This window comes from Homo sapiens, chromosome 4, assembly GCF_000001405.40.
Source record: "Homo sapiens chromosome 4, GRCh38.p14 Primary Assembly".
In the NCBI taxonomy this organism is placed as follows: Eukaryota; Metazoa; Chordata; class Mammalia; order Primates; family Hominidae; genus Homo; species Homo sapiens.
In genome coordinates, this window is record NC_000004.12 from 123338978 (window position 1) to 123354055 (window position 15078).

General features: G+C 43.3%; 1 long non-coding RNA gene across 1 annotated transcript, besides 3 other annotated features; it reads right to left on the reverse strand.

Moving 5' to 3' along the window:
* Positions 1357 to 1651: an enhancer, noted in NCBI's record as "tiled region #14026; HepG2 Activating non-DNase unmatched - State 6:EnhF". NCBI's record gives its function as "activates a minimal TATA promoter and a strong SV40 promoter by Sharpr-MPRA in HepG2 cells {active_cell/tissue: HepG2}" and the evidence as "EXISTENCE:reporter gene assay evidence [ECO:0000049][PMID:27701403]".
* LOC124900774 (uncharacterized) lies at positions 10177 to 12244 on the reverse strand. Its single transcript, XR_007058263.1, has 2 exons — positions 11237 to 12244; positions 10177 to 10740 (listed from the first exon to the last, which is right to left on the reverse strand). It is a non-coding gene; the product is annotated as an uncharacterized LOC124900774 (long non-coding RNA).
* Positions 11043 to 11573: an enhancer, noted in NCBI's record as "NANOG hESC enhancer chr4:124271175-124271705 (GRCh37/hg19 assembly coordinates)". NCBI's record gives its function as "activates a minimal SCP1, AML or CMV promoter by ChIP-STARR-seq in primed H9 embryonic stem cells {active_cell/tissue: H9 hESC(primed)}" and the evidence as "EXISTENCE:reporter gene assay evidence [ECO:0000049][PMID:30033119]".
* Positions 12485 to 12986: an enhancer, noted in NCBI's record as "H3K4me1 hESC enhancer chr4:124272617-124273118 (GRCh37/hg19 assembly coordinates)". NCBI's record gives its function as "activates a minimal SCP1, AML or CMV promoter by ChIP-STARR-seq in naive H9 embryonic stem cells {active_cell/tissue: H9 hESC(naive)}" and the evidence as "EXISTENCE:reporter gene assay evidence [ECO:0000049][PMID:30033119]".

The following is a 15078-nucleotide window of genomic DNA, read 5'->3' on the forward strand; positions in this document are numbered from 1 at the left end:
GGATTATGTTTTCTCGGCATTGTCAAGGTGCTGTGGAACAAAACAAAATGACTGCTTTACGCAAAAGAAGGTTAGAGTCTTTGAAAAAGAGATTAAGAGGATGTTTGGCTATTGCGCTGCGTAGTCCATCCAGGAGGAAAAAGGCAACAGCAAAGGCGAATGTTTGTTTGCATTTTGGGGGAAGGGGTTTTAAAAATGGGAAAAATGGGAACTGCTCCAAATTAAAATAATTGTTGGTGGTTGCTCCCAATAAATCTAGTAATGAAGATTAAAGCTTGTTAGAATCCTACACCCATTTTTCATTTGCTTTTCTCTCTAAAAAGTTCTTTATATCCTAGGTTTAAAGTAGCAGAAGAAATATATTCTTGCTTATGTATTTACAGAGAATGATCGCATTAACATTGTTAAACAAAAAACAAAAACAAAAACAAAACAAATAAAAAACTCTACTTTGTCCATATTATAAGTAATGCATGTTACATTTAAGGAGTGGATTCTACCGTGTTTTTGAAGTCCCTATTAGGCATTTAGTTAACAAAACTTATAGCAGAAATGGGAACGAAATCCCTGTCTTCCTTTTCCTAACCCCCTTCTTTCTAACCCTTTCCTCTCCCCAACCCCCTTATTAAAACAAGGTCTGTGGAGTCTGAAGCAGATTAGCAAATAGATAAATCCTTTAATGTCATGGAATACTTTCCCCAGTATAAATGGGATTAATCTGCCAACCCAGCAAATTCTACATTTCAAACACCTCAGCTGCATAATAAGCCATTTCCCCAACCCCCTAATTTATGGCACAAGGGTCATTTGATTTTAATGTTTGCACTGGTTAGACTTTCTTTCTCCAGTCTTCCCTCCCACGGCATCTCCAGCTCTCTCCATTTTCTACCTTTGAAAATGCTCCTTACATAGCCTTTAGAAAAGCATCAAAGGGTACAAACAATAACCTGTGCTTCACAGAGAAGCCGGAAGACGGAGAGGATGTGGAGCCTAAGCTGCCTTCCACTGGGCCCAGCAAGTCCCTCTCCAGAGCCTGTGAGGTGGCCATGTTGGGAGCTTTGGCCTGGGTCTGGCCACACAGCCCTGGGTTTGAGGATCCAACATCATGGCCAAACCCAGTACTATACAGCCACCAATACCTGTTTCACAAAATGTTTACTGTAATGAGGAAAAACACAGGCCCTGCTTAGACACTTTAAGAGCTAGAAATGGCTCTGTGTGAACACAGAAGGGAGGCAGTGCAGTCTCTGACCCTAGAATTAGAACTGGGTATCTGTGCACCATTGCATTCAGTGACTGGCCCAAGGTCACAAAGTAGGAGGCGGATGGCTTGCATCTACCAGGTTGTCAGCCCTCCAGGGCTGTACTGCACCTCCCAAGCCACACTGCTTCCTTTAGGAAAGTATGGCCACGCTGCTCTCATTCAGCAACCCCAGGAGAAAAAGACTATTTCAGGGCTATTTACTCAAAACCATTGGGTAAATTCTGACTCACATTAACGTTTCCCTTTACACACCCTTTGAAATCAGAGCAACATGAGTCACCTTACTGTTCTATCCTCTTGGTTGGTGACCAAAGGGAAATGCTTCATTTTAAGAAGTAAGTCCTCGTGGCTGTTGTCGGTGAAGCTCTGAGAGTCACAATAAGGCCGGAACACCCCTGCAGTTGTGAGCCCAAAATGTCCTTACGGCACATGGGCCAGAGAGTCTCCTCCTTCCCGAAACAGGGTCTTCGCCAGGCCTTTATATTAAAATAGTAGAAACAATGGGATAAGAATGAGAATGTGAGTATATTTCTAAAAAGCAGTCATGAAGATTTTATTTCGAAACAGCAAAGTAGCATAACGAATGAACTACAGCCACATGCAGATGGGTGAATCTTAGCAATGTAATGGAAACGAAAGTCGCAAAACATATACTACACGATACCTTTTATACAGTTTAAAGTAGCTAAAATGTTTTAAAATACATGCAGTTTAGGACTGCAATAATCTACATCGACAGAAAAGCTAGGAAAACCAGGATGCTGCTGGGGAGGATGGGGTGAGGTTGCTGGGGGAACATGTCATTAGCTCTGACTTATTTTCCAGACTGACTTTTGTTTAGGAGATGGGCTCGCAGATGTTTATTATATTACTAAAAATAAATCAATAACTGAATATAAGTTGGACATCTACAACCCAATGATGACAATTTAAGGATCATAATTAAGCCAATTAATACACACCAAATTGAAAACAAAACTGACGATTGTATTAGTTTACTAGGGCTGCTGTGACAAAGTACCATCAGCCAGGCTGATATGTTTAAAATACAAACTGACCATAAACAAAATAATAGATAGCTTACATAAAGGTAAAATAAAAAGCACAAACATTGCCCCCAGAGCATGATATATAGTAAATGTTGGCCTGACCTGGGGTAGGTTTGTGAGGTAATGACCTCCTATGCTTTGATGAAGCTTTATGGCTCATCTAACTGAGGCTCTCACCTCTAAGTTCAGTCATGCCTCAGTGTTTGAGTAGAAGGAACAGATGGGACATGGGTTAGTGGCTAAAATCAATTTCATCACGTCGACGTTGGTATCCTAGCTCTCTCCTACAACCAAGTCTCTTCCTCTTTTCCAAGGGACGTTCATTCCTGCTTCTTTCCCAGTTCCCCAACAACTGGCTTTCCCGTCCTTGAACTGAACTGTCTCCATGGCTGAGGCCCCACGCCAGCTGCTCCAGATTCTTTGTGCCACCATCTGCCTGGCTGGACTTCTACAGCAGTTACCCTTGACTTCTTTTTAGAGGTTCACTTTTGAATTTTTGGGCTAAGTTTAATTTTTTTTTTTTTTGAGACAGTCTCACTCTGTCACCCAGGCTGGAGTGCAGTGGCATGATCTCGGCTCACCACAACCTCTGCCTCCAAGGTTCAAGCTATTCTCCTACCTCAGCCTCCCGAGTAGCTGGGACTACAGGTGCCCACCACCACACCCAGCTAATTTTTGTATTTTTAGTAGAGATGGGGTTTCACCATGTTGGTCAGATTTGTCTGGAACTCCTGACCTCGTGATCTGCCTGCCTTGGCCTCCCAGTGGACTAAGTTTAAACCTGAGTTAATGGTATTATTCTCCATCTATCCCTTCCTTATACAGATTTATCTCCTGGTTTCATACCTATTTTGAGATTCATGGCAGAGAATTATGGAAATCTCTAGTAACACATTTCTGTCTTTAGTCGCATGCCCAGCATTTGAACCTTGCCTTTCTCTGTGAGTATTCCCAGAAAACCATCCCAACAGTACATAGTTTGGCCTTTATAACTCCTGATCCTCTCTGAGCAATCGTAGCCAGAAACCAGACCATTGCTTTAATTAGACTGGAGGAAATAGAACAACCAGAAGTTTTCAAAGATTACAAAAGAGATTGCTAGGGAGGCTTAAAGGAAGACAGATAACAGATATCTTCTCAATAAAGGATGAGACGGGCCAGGCATGGGGGCTCACGCCTATAATCCTATCACTTTGGGAGGCGAGGTGAGAGGATCGCTTGGAGCCAGGAGTTGGAGACCAGCCTGAACAACATAGTGAGACCTCATCTCTATAAAAAAAAAGTTTAAAAATGTGCCCAGCATGGTGGCATGTGTCTGTAGTCCTAGATACTCAAGAAGAGGTTGAGCCACAAGGATTGTTTGAGCCCAGAAGTTCAAGGCTGCAGTGAGCTATGATTGCACCACTGCACTACAGCTTTGGTGACAGAGTGAAACCCTGTCTCTAAAAATAAATAAATAAATACAGAGACAGTTATCAGATGGGCATGGCTTGGTAAAGTAGAATTTATTTTGCTGTATGAGGCACTCTTGGCCTTCACACAAAGATGAGTAGTCACTCCCCGAGTTAGTGTGACACTGTCTGCTGATGTTGATCAAGATGGATACATTGACTTGTTTACTCTGTGTCACATACAGTCATTCCATGACAATCTTCAAAATGCCACCGCGTATAGGCTCAGGATTAGATAGGACATTCTTTTAATGAAAGGACATAGGATAGCCTGAATTCACTGGGTGAACATATCTAGAGTCAGGGCAGGGACCACGGTGGTGAGAACAAGCACACCAGGAGGGAGCCAAGGCCGGGCCTCGGCTTTGAGCCTGCAGCACTGGGACAGGGGTGCCCTCTACCCCCAAGCATAGACACCTTGACTTTTGGCCTTCCCGGTCTGCTCAACCCATCCTAGCTAGTTGATATGCTGTGAAGAGGACACCTACCCAAGTAACAGGAATAGAAATCTCTATGTGGCACCAAAGCACTCCTGGCCCCCTACTCCAGACATTTAGGATGGTCATTCTGCTGAGGAGGAAGATGACAGAGCCAGGGAGAAGAGCTTGGACTTCACATCCGCACCGTTCTGGATTCCAATCCCAGCTCTACCGTCGACGATTTGTGTGATTCCCGGCAAATCACCCGGCCTCTCAGTACAAATTTCTTACTCTGAAACACAAAGCTCATAACATCTACCTTTTCAGGATAAAATGTGAAGGATAAAATGAACTGATGTCTATAAAGTGTGACGCAGGGCTTGTCTTTAACGAGGGCTCATTGGCCTACCCTTCCCACCTCCTTCCAAGCACACAGGGCACGGCCTCCCGGAGCGCACATCCTCTGCCTTTTACATGTGTCCTGTTGAAATCTGAACAACCTGAGAGGTTTTTCTGTGGCTGCCGTCATCTGTTCTTTTTCACAGGAATAATTTCTAAGTGTACAATCTAACATTCTTTTGTTTTGTTTTGTTCTTTCAGAATTTCCCTTTCGTGTGAATCATATCCTTGGCCAAGCGGGGCACATTTATCGTATTTCTGAACTTTCTGAAGCCTATTTTCCAAAGTCCAGGTTCAGGTCACCTCAGCCTGGTGGTTCCTTTCCTCAATTTAATGCAGAATGACACAGTCATGTTTTTCTCTAGGTTCCTGGAAGTTACACAATAGCCATCAGGTTCTTTTTCATCAGAATGAAGTCAAGAATAGAAGTTCCCTTGTTGTTTCCTCTGCCTTCTTAGTGACGAGAGTATCATGAAGACGGGCAAGGATTTATTACATGGTTTACTTTGAGCGGAACAAGACTCCTAGTAAAATCTGAACCTCTGAACCTGATCACCATTACCACCTACATGGCCTATTAAGTATTTAAAATTGATTAAGCATTTTCCTGCATCAGAATAGAAAAACAGCCCTAGCTTATATTTACTGTGCATTTTCAATGTACAGGGTACCCAGTTAAGCTTTTGGAGGACATTGTCATTTTTAAACTTTAAAACAGCCCTACTAGGTAAGGGCTATTCTTAGTTCCCATTTTACAGATATAAAAACTGAAGCACAAAGAGATTATGTACTTTGCCTAAAACCACATGGCTTGCAGGTAGGAAGGCCAGGGTTCTGACCCTAGAGCCTGTCTTCTACCCGCTGTCTGCTCTTGCTTCTCACACATGAGCTCGCATGCCAGCTCCCTAACTTAGGGGCTTTCTGACCTTGGGAAGGTTGCTCCCTGTCTCTCAGTTTTCTCATTTGTAAAAATGAGAATCACAGTATCAACACCACCAGGATTGTTATGCAAATGAAATGCTATCGCGTTTAGGAAGCAGGTAGCACCATTCCTAGTGAAGAGCAGGGGCACCAGGCAACTGCCAGAAGAGCATCACCACCATCGCCACATGGCCCCACTCCCCCACTGCACCTGCCCTTCACATGCCAGTATTTCAGAAATCACTTTTTATCTCATAATTGCTGAGGTTCCATCTCATAATCAATGCATACATTTGATGAGGGTTAGCTTTTCCCAAAAAGTTATTACTTGATAGCATGTCTTTCTATAAATGCCATCTCTGAATCAAGGAAATATAGTATTTCTACATGTATTTGTTTTATTTGTCTAGCTCGTTTACTAGGACAAGAGCCATAGTTTGAATTTTCCTGAGTTCTCTCAACATTTAGTACTGAGCCTCACTCCAAGTACTCAATAAATAGCTGTGGAGCACATACGTGTTTGTCATAAGCAAATTCAGCTGTCCTGGTTTGTGTTGGGTAAAAGATGCTTTTTCCCTCCAAGTGCAGTATGGGGCCGGGATGGGGCAGGGCCGAGGGTATTTTCCTAGAGGGTCTTTGCGCCCTCCTGCAGGGTGGGCTGAGCACTTCCTAGAGCAAGAGTGACAAGAAACTGCACCTGTCTCCACGGAGCTTTCCCCGTCCTGGCTGTACCAGGACATGCATGACATTAAAAGCAAACAAGATTGGTGTAGCCAGAGGTAAAGGGAAAATTTATTTGTCTGGGCAACTGTACTGACCTCTGGCTCTGAGGATTTCCCTCTAAGAGGAGGAGGACAGAACTGGATTATGTTCTCCCAAGTTTTACTCTTGTAGGATTTTTTCTCCTTGGTTTTGGAGTGAGTGAGCATGTGTGCACATTTTCACACCCTGCTAGTGATTAAGACACCCTGATGCAAATGTCCACTCGGACTTTATAAGACAGTTCATGCGTTCAGGAATCAGGCCTGGTGAAGGGAGTACAGCTGTCTGGACCAGGTACAGGCCGATTCCAGGCAGGAATTACCTGAAACAAGAGCTCAGAGCTGGTGTCTTTTGGCTGCATCAGTTTTCATGCCGAGCCTTTTCAAGACTTTTATAACTCTCTAGCTAGCAAGCAAACAAATAAATAAAAATTAACTAGACTGAAAGTTGGTCTGCAGAACTTCAGCTTGAGATCATTCTTTTTCTCTGAAACTGAGAAAGTTTCTAAATATTGATCTATAAACAAGCGAAGGGGTGTCCGGACTCTGGGAACAGCTTGGCTTGCACTTTAATGGTTTCAAAATTAGGAGGAGCAGATTGCTGAGCAGCACTTTCCTCCAAGATTATCTTTTTTTATTAAAAAAGTGACAAAAACATTTGCGTGGGACAGACTTCAGCAGCACATATGCTGGTTTTTAAATATTCTACAAAGTTTCACTAATCGGATTTCAAAAAAGGTCAAAAGTTGTTCAGCTTATATTGTACACATGGAAACTTCCTTTTGGGGTTACAGGGGTTTTCTTTGTTTTTCTTTACATTTTCCTCTTTAGTTGCTCTTTTGATTGATGTGGCCAAATGCTGGAGTTGCTTATTGTGGGAAATGTGTCCTGCTTTTCTTTGTGTATTTATAGAAATTGAAACACACTTCACGATGAGCTCTACTCTCCTAATAAAAGGGAGATATGACATTTTAGACAATAACTTTTTAAACAGAATGTTCTGCTTTTTATTTCATTCAGCTCATGTTAGGCACAGAAGCAGCTCAGGCAGATCGCACAATGGGAGTAACTCCTGGGGGGGTGGAGAGGGGTTGGGGGATGTGGGGGTACCCCTCTCTCTGTTAGGGATTATTTGATTTGGTAATTAATAAAAGATAAAGAGGTCTTTTATGTGTTTTTCGCTAGAACTTTAAATTAACGTTCCTTCTCAAATGTTTCTCTCAGCTCTCTTCTTGCCCATTCTGCAGGGTGACTGTGCTGCACAGCTCCAGGGCACAGCTCCCAGTTGGTTCCATATGCGTGGTGTCTCTGTGCTGTGCAGCTCTGCAAGGAGCCTAACGGTGAACAGGGGCAATTGCCTTTCTCTCCCTACCATGAGATTTATTTCTGATCCTACTCCCTTATGACTTACGAAGCCCCACATAACTATTCTTTCCTTCCCTCGTGTGAAGTTTCCCCTTTCATGACAGACTGGCAGTCTTCACTGAAACCCAGCTGGACTGCATCTCTCCTTAGATGAGACTCGAATGTCATGAGACTTGAGAAAAGCATGAAACAGTCATGTTTGACAAAGTGTCTACCTTGGGAACTAAGTTCTGAGAAATGCTTCTCAATGAAAAGGATTTCTGGTCAAATAATTTGGGGAAAAAGCTTTGCTATGGTTTGGATATTTGTCATTCCAAAGCTTATGTTGAAATCTGATCCCCAATTTGGAGATGGGGTCTAATGAGAGGTGTTTGGGTCATGGGGTCAGATCCCTCATGAATGGCTTGGCCTCCTCTGGTAGTGAGTGGGTTCTTGCTTTATTAGTTCCCACAAGAGCCGGACACCTCTCCGCTCTCTCTCTCGCTTCTGTTGTCTCACCATGTCGTCTTTGCACACATGGCCCCCCCTTTCCCTTCTGCCATGAGTGGAGGCTTCCTTGGCCCCTCCCCAGATGCAGATGGTGGCATCCTGCTTCTCGTACAGCCTGCAGAACTGAGAACCAAAAAAACCTCTTTTCTTTATCATTTTAATCACCCAGCCTCAGGTATTCCTTTGTAGCAACACACACAGACTAAGACAAGCTTCATAACACATCTCACTTTTGGGTAGTCAACTGATCTCAGTAATCAAGGTTAAAATAAGCTTGGGAGGGGCCCTGTGCTTAAAAAATAACCAACCAACCACAACAACAGCAAACACTAAACTAGGTTTAACTTCATCTCACCAAGAACTTCCAGATAATTTGTATTCATTTGTTGCATAACACTGGTAGTCCCTGGAACGGGCTTTGGGAATTGCTGTCCTAAAGCATCCTAGCTACCTTCAAGGCTCAAGGAAATCATAGTAATTTAACAGAACTGTTTAATCATGTTCCTTGGAGATGTAAGTAATCTCTATTATGTTTAAACTTTTACCCTGTCATTCTGAAATAGATGACACCTAGAACTCAGGTTGGATTATTATCCTCAAGCCCCATTATGCAGAGACCATCTGGCTGTTGTACTTGAGAAAAGACAGTTACTACAATGAATCAAATCTAGGTGGTGAAATTAGAAAGAGCCAAACTGGAAATGTTGTAGAATAAGGCCAGCTGACCCCAGAATGGTCTTTTAAAGAAACAATACTGAGATGTGGCCCTCAAATGCACTCACGTAAAGAAACTTGAGGGCTGGGTGCAGTGGCTTACACCTGTAATCCCAGCACTTTGGGAGGCAGGTCACTTGAGTCCAGGAGTCTGAGACCAGCCTGGGCAACATAGTGAGACCTCGTCTGTACAAAAATGAAATAAAAATTTAGCCCGGTGTGGTGGTGTGTGCCTATAGTCCCAGCTACTCAAGAAGCTAAGATGAGAGGATCAACTTGAGCCCAGGAGTTCCAGGCTGCAGTGAGCAATGACCATGCCACTGCATTCCTGTCTGGGTGACAGAGTGAAACCTTGTCTCAAAAAAAAAAAAAAAAAAAAGATAGGAAAAAAAACTTGATTTGATTGTGCCTTCAGAGGTTATCAGATTCAAAACAACTGATTTCCATTAGGAAACATCACACAAGTTTGATGTATAAACTAGAATGTGATGATTGCTCTCTAGTAAGAATAGACACGTCATGGGCAGCCATACGGTCATAGTGGCTAATCAGTACACTCTCTTCATGGGAAAGCTGCATAGGAAGCCAGAAATTATCATCATAAGGCTGTTTCATGAGCAAGAAATCTGAGCAAGGGAATTTCATTGGATAGTGGTGTTCACTAGAGCCATAGACTTTCCAAATAGAATAATAACTACCCTGGCGGGTCCACACATACTTGTCTCCTGAAGATGCACTGTATAGTCTTCCTAAGTGAGACCCACTTTCACTACATTTTGAAGACTGTTCCTATTGGGAAGGAAGAAAGAAGGGTTCCAAACCAGGTTCCAGGCCTGATTTCATGCTCTAGTTGTCAGGGTTACACTTGGTTATTATCTGGATCATCTAGACTTGATGCTTCCTATCTCCAAGAGGGTGCTTTCTGCAGACGGCTAATCGCAAATACCCTATGGCTCTCAGACAGTATGTCCATATATTTGGGCAACCTTATTTCCCTCCATGCGTCCTGACTATTCTATGGTCCCGTTTGGCTGTCCGGACTGGTCTGTCTTTGGTTAGAGGCATGCAGAGAGAAGGGAGAATGTAAGGATAATGCCCCTTACAGATTCGCCATTTAAGAATTTCTCTATACAAATAACTTTCTTCCCCAGTCTGGTCTGCTTCTTGTGTTAATTCAAGGCAATTGAAGCCAGCAAATACAGAAATACTCATTTGCTAAGCTCCTATTATGTCTAAAACAATATGTTTAGCACTGTTGAGCAATTTGAAACAGAAAGACAGGAATTCTGACCCATGTTTCAGAGTTATGCCTCTCATGAGCCGTGCAAGGTCCACATACATTTGTATCTTGCCACAAGGTCAGACTTTTATTGATACTGTTTCAATCACAAAAACCATGAGCTCAATGGAGTTCCCAAGAAAGAGGTTCTCCTCAGAACTTCCCATTCACTCGGTAGTGAGAATAGCGGGCACACAGGCTCAAGCCACTCCACAAGTCAGTTAATACTGAAAACCATATGTAATAGAATACGTGGTCACTATATACATGTTAAACATTCCACAGCTCACAAAGTAACATTTAACATCAAGAGAAAAGGGAGAGAAAAAAGAGTTAATGAACCATTGCAGGGAGAACAACGAAGACAAAAAGAATCTCCTGGCTTGGCCTGGGCAGTCCCTCAGTCTCGCAAGGAAGAGTCTTTGATGTGGGCAGAGCCTTTGTAGGCAGATGCCAGGTGCTTATCGCAACTGATAGCAGGACTGCGTCAGTTGTGTTGAGCTGCTGAAGCCTTACTCTTTTTATGGCCACAGAGTCCTCTGGTGAGGACTGATAGTGGAAGAATGTGCTTGTTTGTATCCTTATCTGGTTGGATGTAGTCATTATTTGTTAAGCAAAATATCTTGTCCCTGTTGGCAAAAAGTGTCATATGAAGTATAAGATACAGTTTTTTTTTTCTAAGATGGAGTTACTTATGTCAAGGATGCTCTATACCATGCCCATTTACTGAGCTTACCAAATAGTTCTCAAAACATCTCTGAGTGTGCACCAATTTTATTCGCACCATGGAATTGAAACTGCTTCCCCCATCTGCTTCATCCCGTTTCTCTGGTACCTTTACTGTCACAGTCTTATTCTGTTTCTCTCCTAGCACTAGACCTAGCTGCTTCTTCAAACTTGAACTTCTATACCCACCCTATCTAAAGCAGTGACCCATAACTCTTCATCTTATTTTGTTTGTTGAAACATTGGTCCTTATCTGAAATCATTTTGCCATTTTATTGTTTAATCTCTGTCTTCTCCATCTAGAAAATTTCAGCTCCATGCCTTGGTCACGATGGTGCTACTGTGTCCTTAATACCTAGAGCAGACTTAGGACCCAGTGGTAGCTCAAGAAATACTCACTGGGAGTGTAGTGACGGAGCAGGGAGAAGTGAGTGAGTCAATGAGTCTGATCTTGTAAGCACCACACCTGAAAGCTTCTGTCAGAGCCTGATTGCAGAACAGCAGGGCGTGCGTATTTCTTTGTTCTACAAGACGACATTTCTAGTAGGTGGTAGCAGGTGGTGCTATTGCTCTGTCAAAAGAGCCACACTCAAAGTCCACGTTATTTCACAGGCCCTAGGAAGTAACTTACTGGCAGAAACAAACAGGTCTTGGTTGACATAGAACTAAGTGGGAAAACAAGTGAGAACTTACCTTTGCTTTGCTCAAGGGCAGAAAGGTTTTAACAGGAAAGAAAGAAGGGACAATGAGTTAGAAATAGGGAATATGGTAGAAGGGGTAATAACAGTGATAAAATAAAAGATTTATAAGTTATCATGGGATGGCCACTCCAAGGACATCACATTCAAGCCTCTACCTTTGCTGTTTGCTACAATGACCCTGAGAAGTGGCCATCTTTTCTCAGTACAAGTTTCCACCATGATGGGGAGTTTCATACAGTGTCACTGATTGCCGCTAATGTTTATCTAGCATCCACTTTGTGTCATCCTGGGCTGCAAGGTGTCCTGCACAGGGTGCACACTGCATTTGCAGCGATGAGGACGTGAATGGCAGCTCCTAGATCTGTGTGGCTGGGTGTCGCCAATGCCATGTGCTACCTAAGTTCACCCACACAACCCATCATGGTAGGCACATGGCAGCAAGTGGCAGGGCTGGGAGTTACACACAAAAAGTTCCTCCCTCAAGTGAACTGACGCCCTGACTTCATATCACAGCTTTTTTAGCCACAATCCTTAAGTGTTCCTACAGCATTTCCTATCTCTTCCGGCCTTTTCTATCTCATTCTCTTGTTTATTTCCATCCCCAAATTTTTAAGCTCTTGTTTTAAAAGTATATATGCTGGCCGGGCGCGGTGGCTCACGCCTGTAATCCCAGCACTTTGGGAGGTCGAGGTGGGCAGATCACCTGAGGTCAGGAGTTCGAGACCAGCCTGCCCAACATGGCGAAACCCTTCTCTACTAAAAACACAAAAAATAAGCCGGGTGTAGTGGTACTTGCCTGTAATCCCAGGTACTCAGGAGGCTGAGGCAGGAGAATCGCTTGAACCTGGGAGGTGGAGGTTGCAGTGAACTGAGATTGCGCCACTGCACTCCAGCCTGGCGACAAGAGCTAAACTCCATCTCAAAAATAAATAAATAAATAAATAAATAAACAAATAATAAACCAAAAACACAAAAAAGTATATATCTGCTTATTGTTTTAACATTCTCCTCCCCTGAATGTAAACTCAGGTGGTAGACCGTGTGCCACCTTACTCACCATCGAATGCCCACTTTATACACAGAAAGTATTCCATGAATATTTCTGGAAAGCCTGAATGCTCCATAGGCATTTGTGGACGGATGCCTCAATAAAATGAGCCCAGGTCTTCCAAGTATTCTTCCTATGACATGGTACCTATCCTGTCATTTTCCTGTATCATCGTTAAAGTATCATCACAGCAGGCTTGTCTCCTCCCCTTTCTGTCCAGGCTGGCGCCCAAGAATTCGTTAGCTGTGGGGCGAGGAGGCGGCTGAATGAGTTAACAAACTGCCCTTCCAGTCGCTTTGGATTTTGCCTGGACTCCAGCTCCGTGGGGTGCTAGTTAATGTTTAGTGAGCGGCTCTCTTCACTCCCACCCGCAAAGCAGGGCTGTGTCGTGCTGCCATCTCCGCGGCGTAAATACTCCCGCCGTGGCTGATTTCAAGGTACCCAAGGGAGGTCGCTGGCCGGGGTTGGGGAGAGCCTCTGACTGTCACAGAGCCTGCTCCAGCCCCACCCGTCCCCATAGACAACAGCCTCCCGTGTTCCCTGAGAAACAGCACCTGGCAGAACCCATGCGTCTGCCCCATGCCCACCCTGAGCTTCCCTATAAATCCAGAGTTTAAAAAAAAAAAAAAAAAAAAAAAAAAAAAAAAAACACACACAGAAATAAGGGGAGTGGGAAGGGAAGAAGAGGGGACTAAATTTCTTGTAGGTCTACTGCCTGCTTCTCATTAGGCCTTTGGGCACATGGACACGTGCCTACTTTCATGGCTTCCCCGAAACACGTCAGCTTATTACAATTACTTGTTTTCTTCCTCTGGCCAAAATCAGTGGGGAAAAAGGAAGTCGTTCTTTTGTTGCTGTTTTGGTTTCTTTTATTTCACTACATTCATTTCTTTTCTTCCCGCAGCTCCCACAACAGGTGGCATGACTTAAAAAGACATAATTCAGTATCATGCCCTTCAGTGAGCGTGTGGTGTCCCACACAGAAAGCTGGGATGTCCTCAGAGTACCAGGTTTGTGGGAGATTTTTGTTTGTTTGTTTTTTAGAGTATGCTTCAGAAGTGTAATTTATTTACCATGTTTTTATTTGGGTCAGTGGGAAAGGGCTAGCAATTAGTTATTTTGGCAAAGGTTCAGTTATGCCTCAAAAAGGAACACAGACTTAACATGTTATATAATCACTCTTAAACCACCTCTGGGAAGTTCTCCAAGCCCTGTGTGTCAGTCTCCATTGTGCTTGTCTGGACACAACCTCTACAAGAATTTCTATTTTATAAAGCAGGGTGGGGAAATGCCCAGAGACAGAGCTGAGTCCAATTGCAAGGTGACTTGTTATGGGGGAGCTAAAGGGAAGAGGTTATCTTATCCTGAAATCTACCACATTAGTCTGTAGGTAAGCCCAGGTCCTCCAGACCACTGGACTCTGTATTGGTAAATAACTTTGCTCCAGAATCTAATTATGTCTATGGGTGATTCTTTCAATTTTTATGTAGTAAACTTTTTATTGAAGTCTAACATGCACTTAGAGAAGTGCACAGATGATAAGTATACAACTTAAAAAGTTACCACAAAAAGAATATACCCACTTAACCACTTCCAGGTCAGGAAGTGCACATGACCTGAAGCTCTCACAGCCTTGCCCAGGTACTACAACCACCCCTCTTCCCCAAAGGTGACTACTAACACCTCTATGGAAGAGTTTTCATTGACTTCTCTGATTCTAAACCGAAGTTCTGATTGTTTTTCCATAGTGATCTAGAAGGGCTCTACTTTAACCATGTTTTTAAAACAGGATCAGGAAGTTGGGGAGCATGTGTTGGTCACATTACTGAGTCAGATGCTGTAACCTGGGTGGGGGTCAGGGCCACCCCTAGGACATGCAGGAGTTGGGCATATGTTTTTTGCCAGGTCCCTGTCTATATAAATAATTTTACTTTTTTAAGTGTACTGCAAAATTCATGGTGCCATATGAGATAGAGTGATTAATCATAAAGCTTTATAAGAATGGTTAGAGAAGTACTGAAGGGCTGGTTTGTTTCCTAGCCAGTACACCTGGCAATTCTTACTAGTGTCCGGGCACTGTCTCTTCCTCTTCGGGTCCAGGAAATATCTCTTCCTGTTCTTTATGGTCAAGAGTCCCATTTCTGGCAAATTTCGCATTTCCCTCACAAGAAAAGGTAGTAATGCTGTTTTTTTCACAATATCCTAGGACTGTGCCAGACTGAATCATGAAACAATAGAACTCTTCTTGCTTGTTTCGAATGTCATTTATTTAATTCCAGTGAGGTTATTACTTGTGATGCTGCATCATCCACCATGACATCTGTGCATACCGGCTTACAATGACACCCTCCAAGTTCCTGTGCCTTGTTGATGGTATCCGCAAATGTGGGAAGTTGTGAATGATGACTTGTTTTCTGGTCATGTTACATTTACCGTTAGGAATTTTACAGCAGTCACATAGAACGATGCATCTTCCAACCCTGATTTTCTTG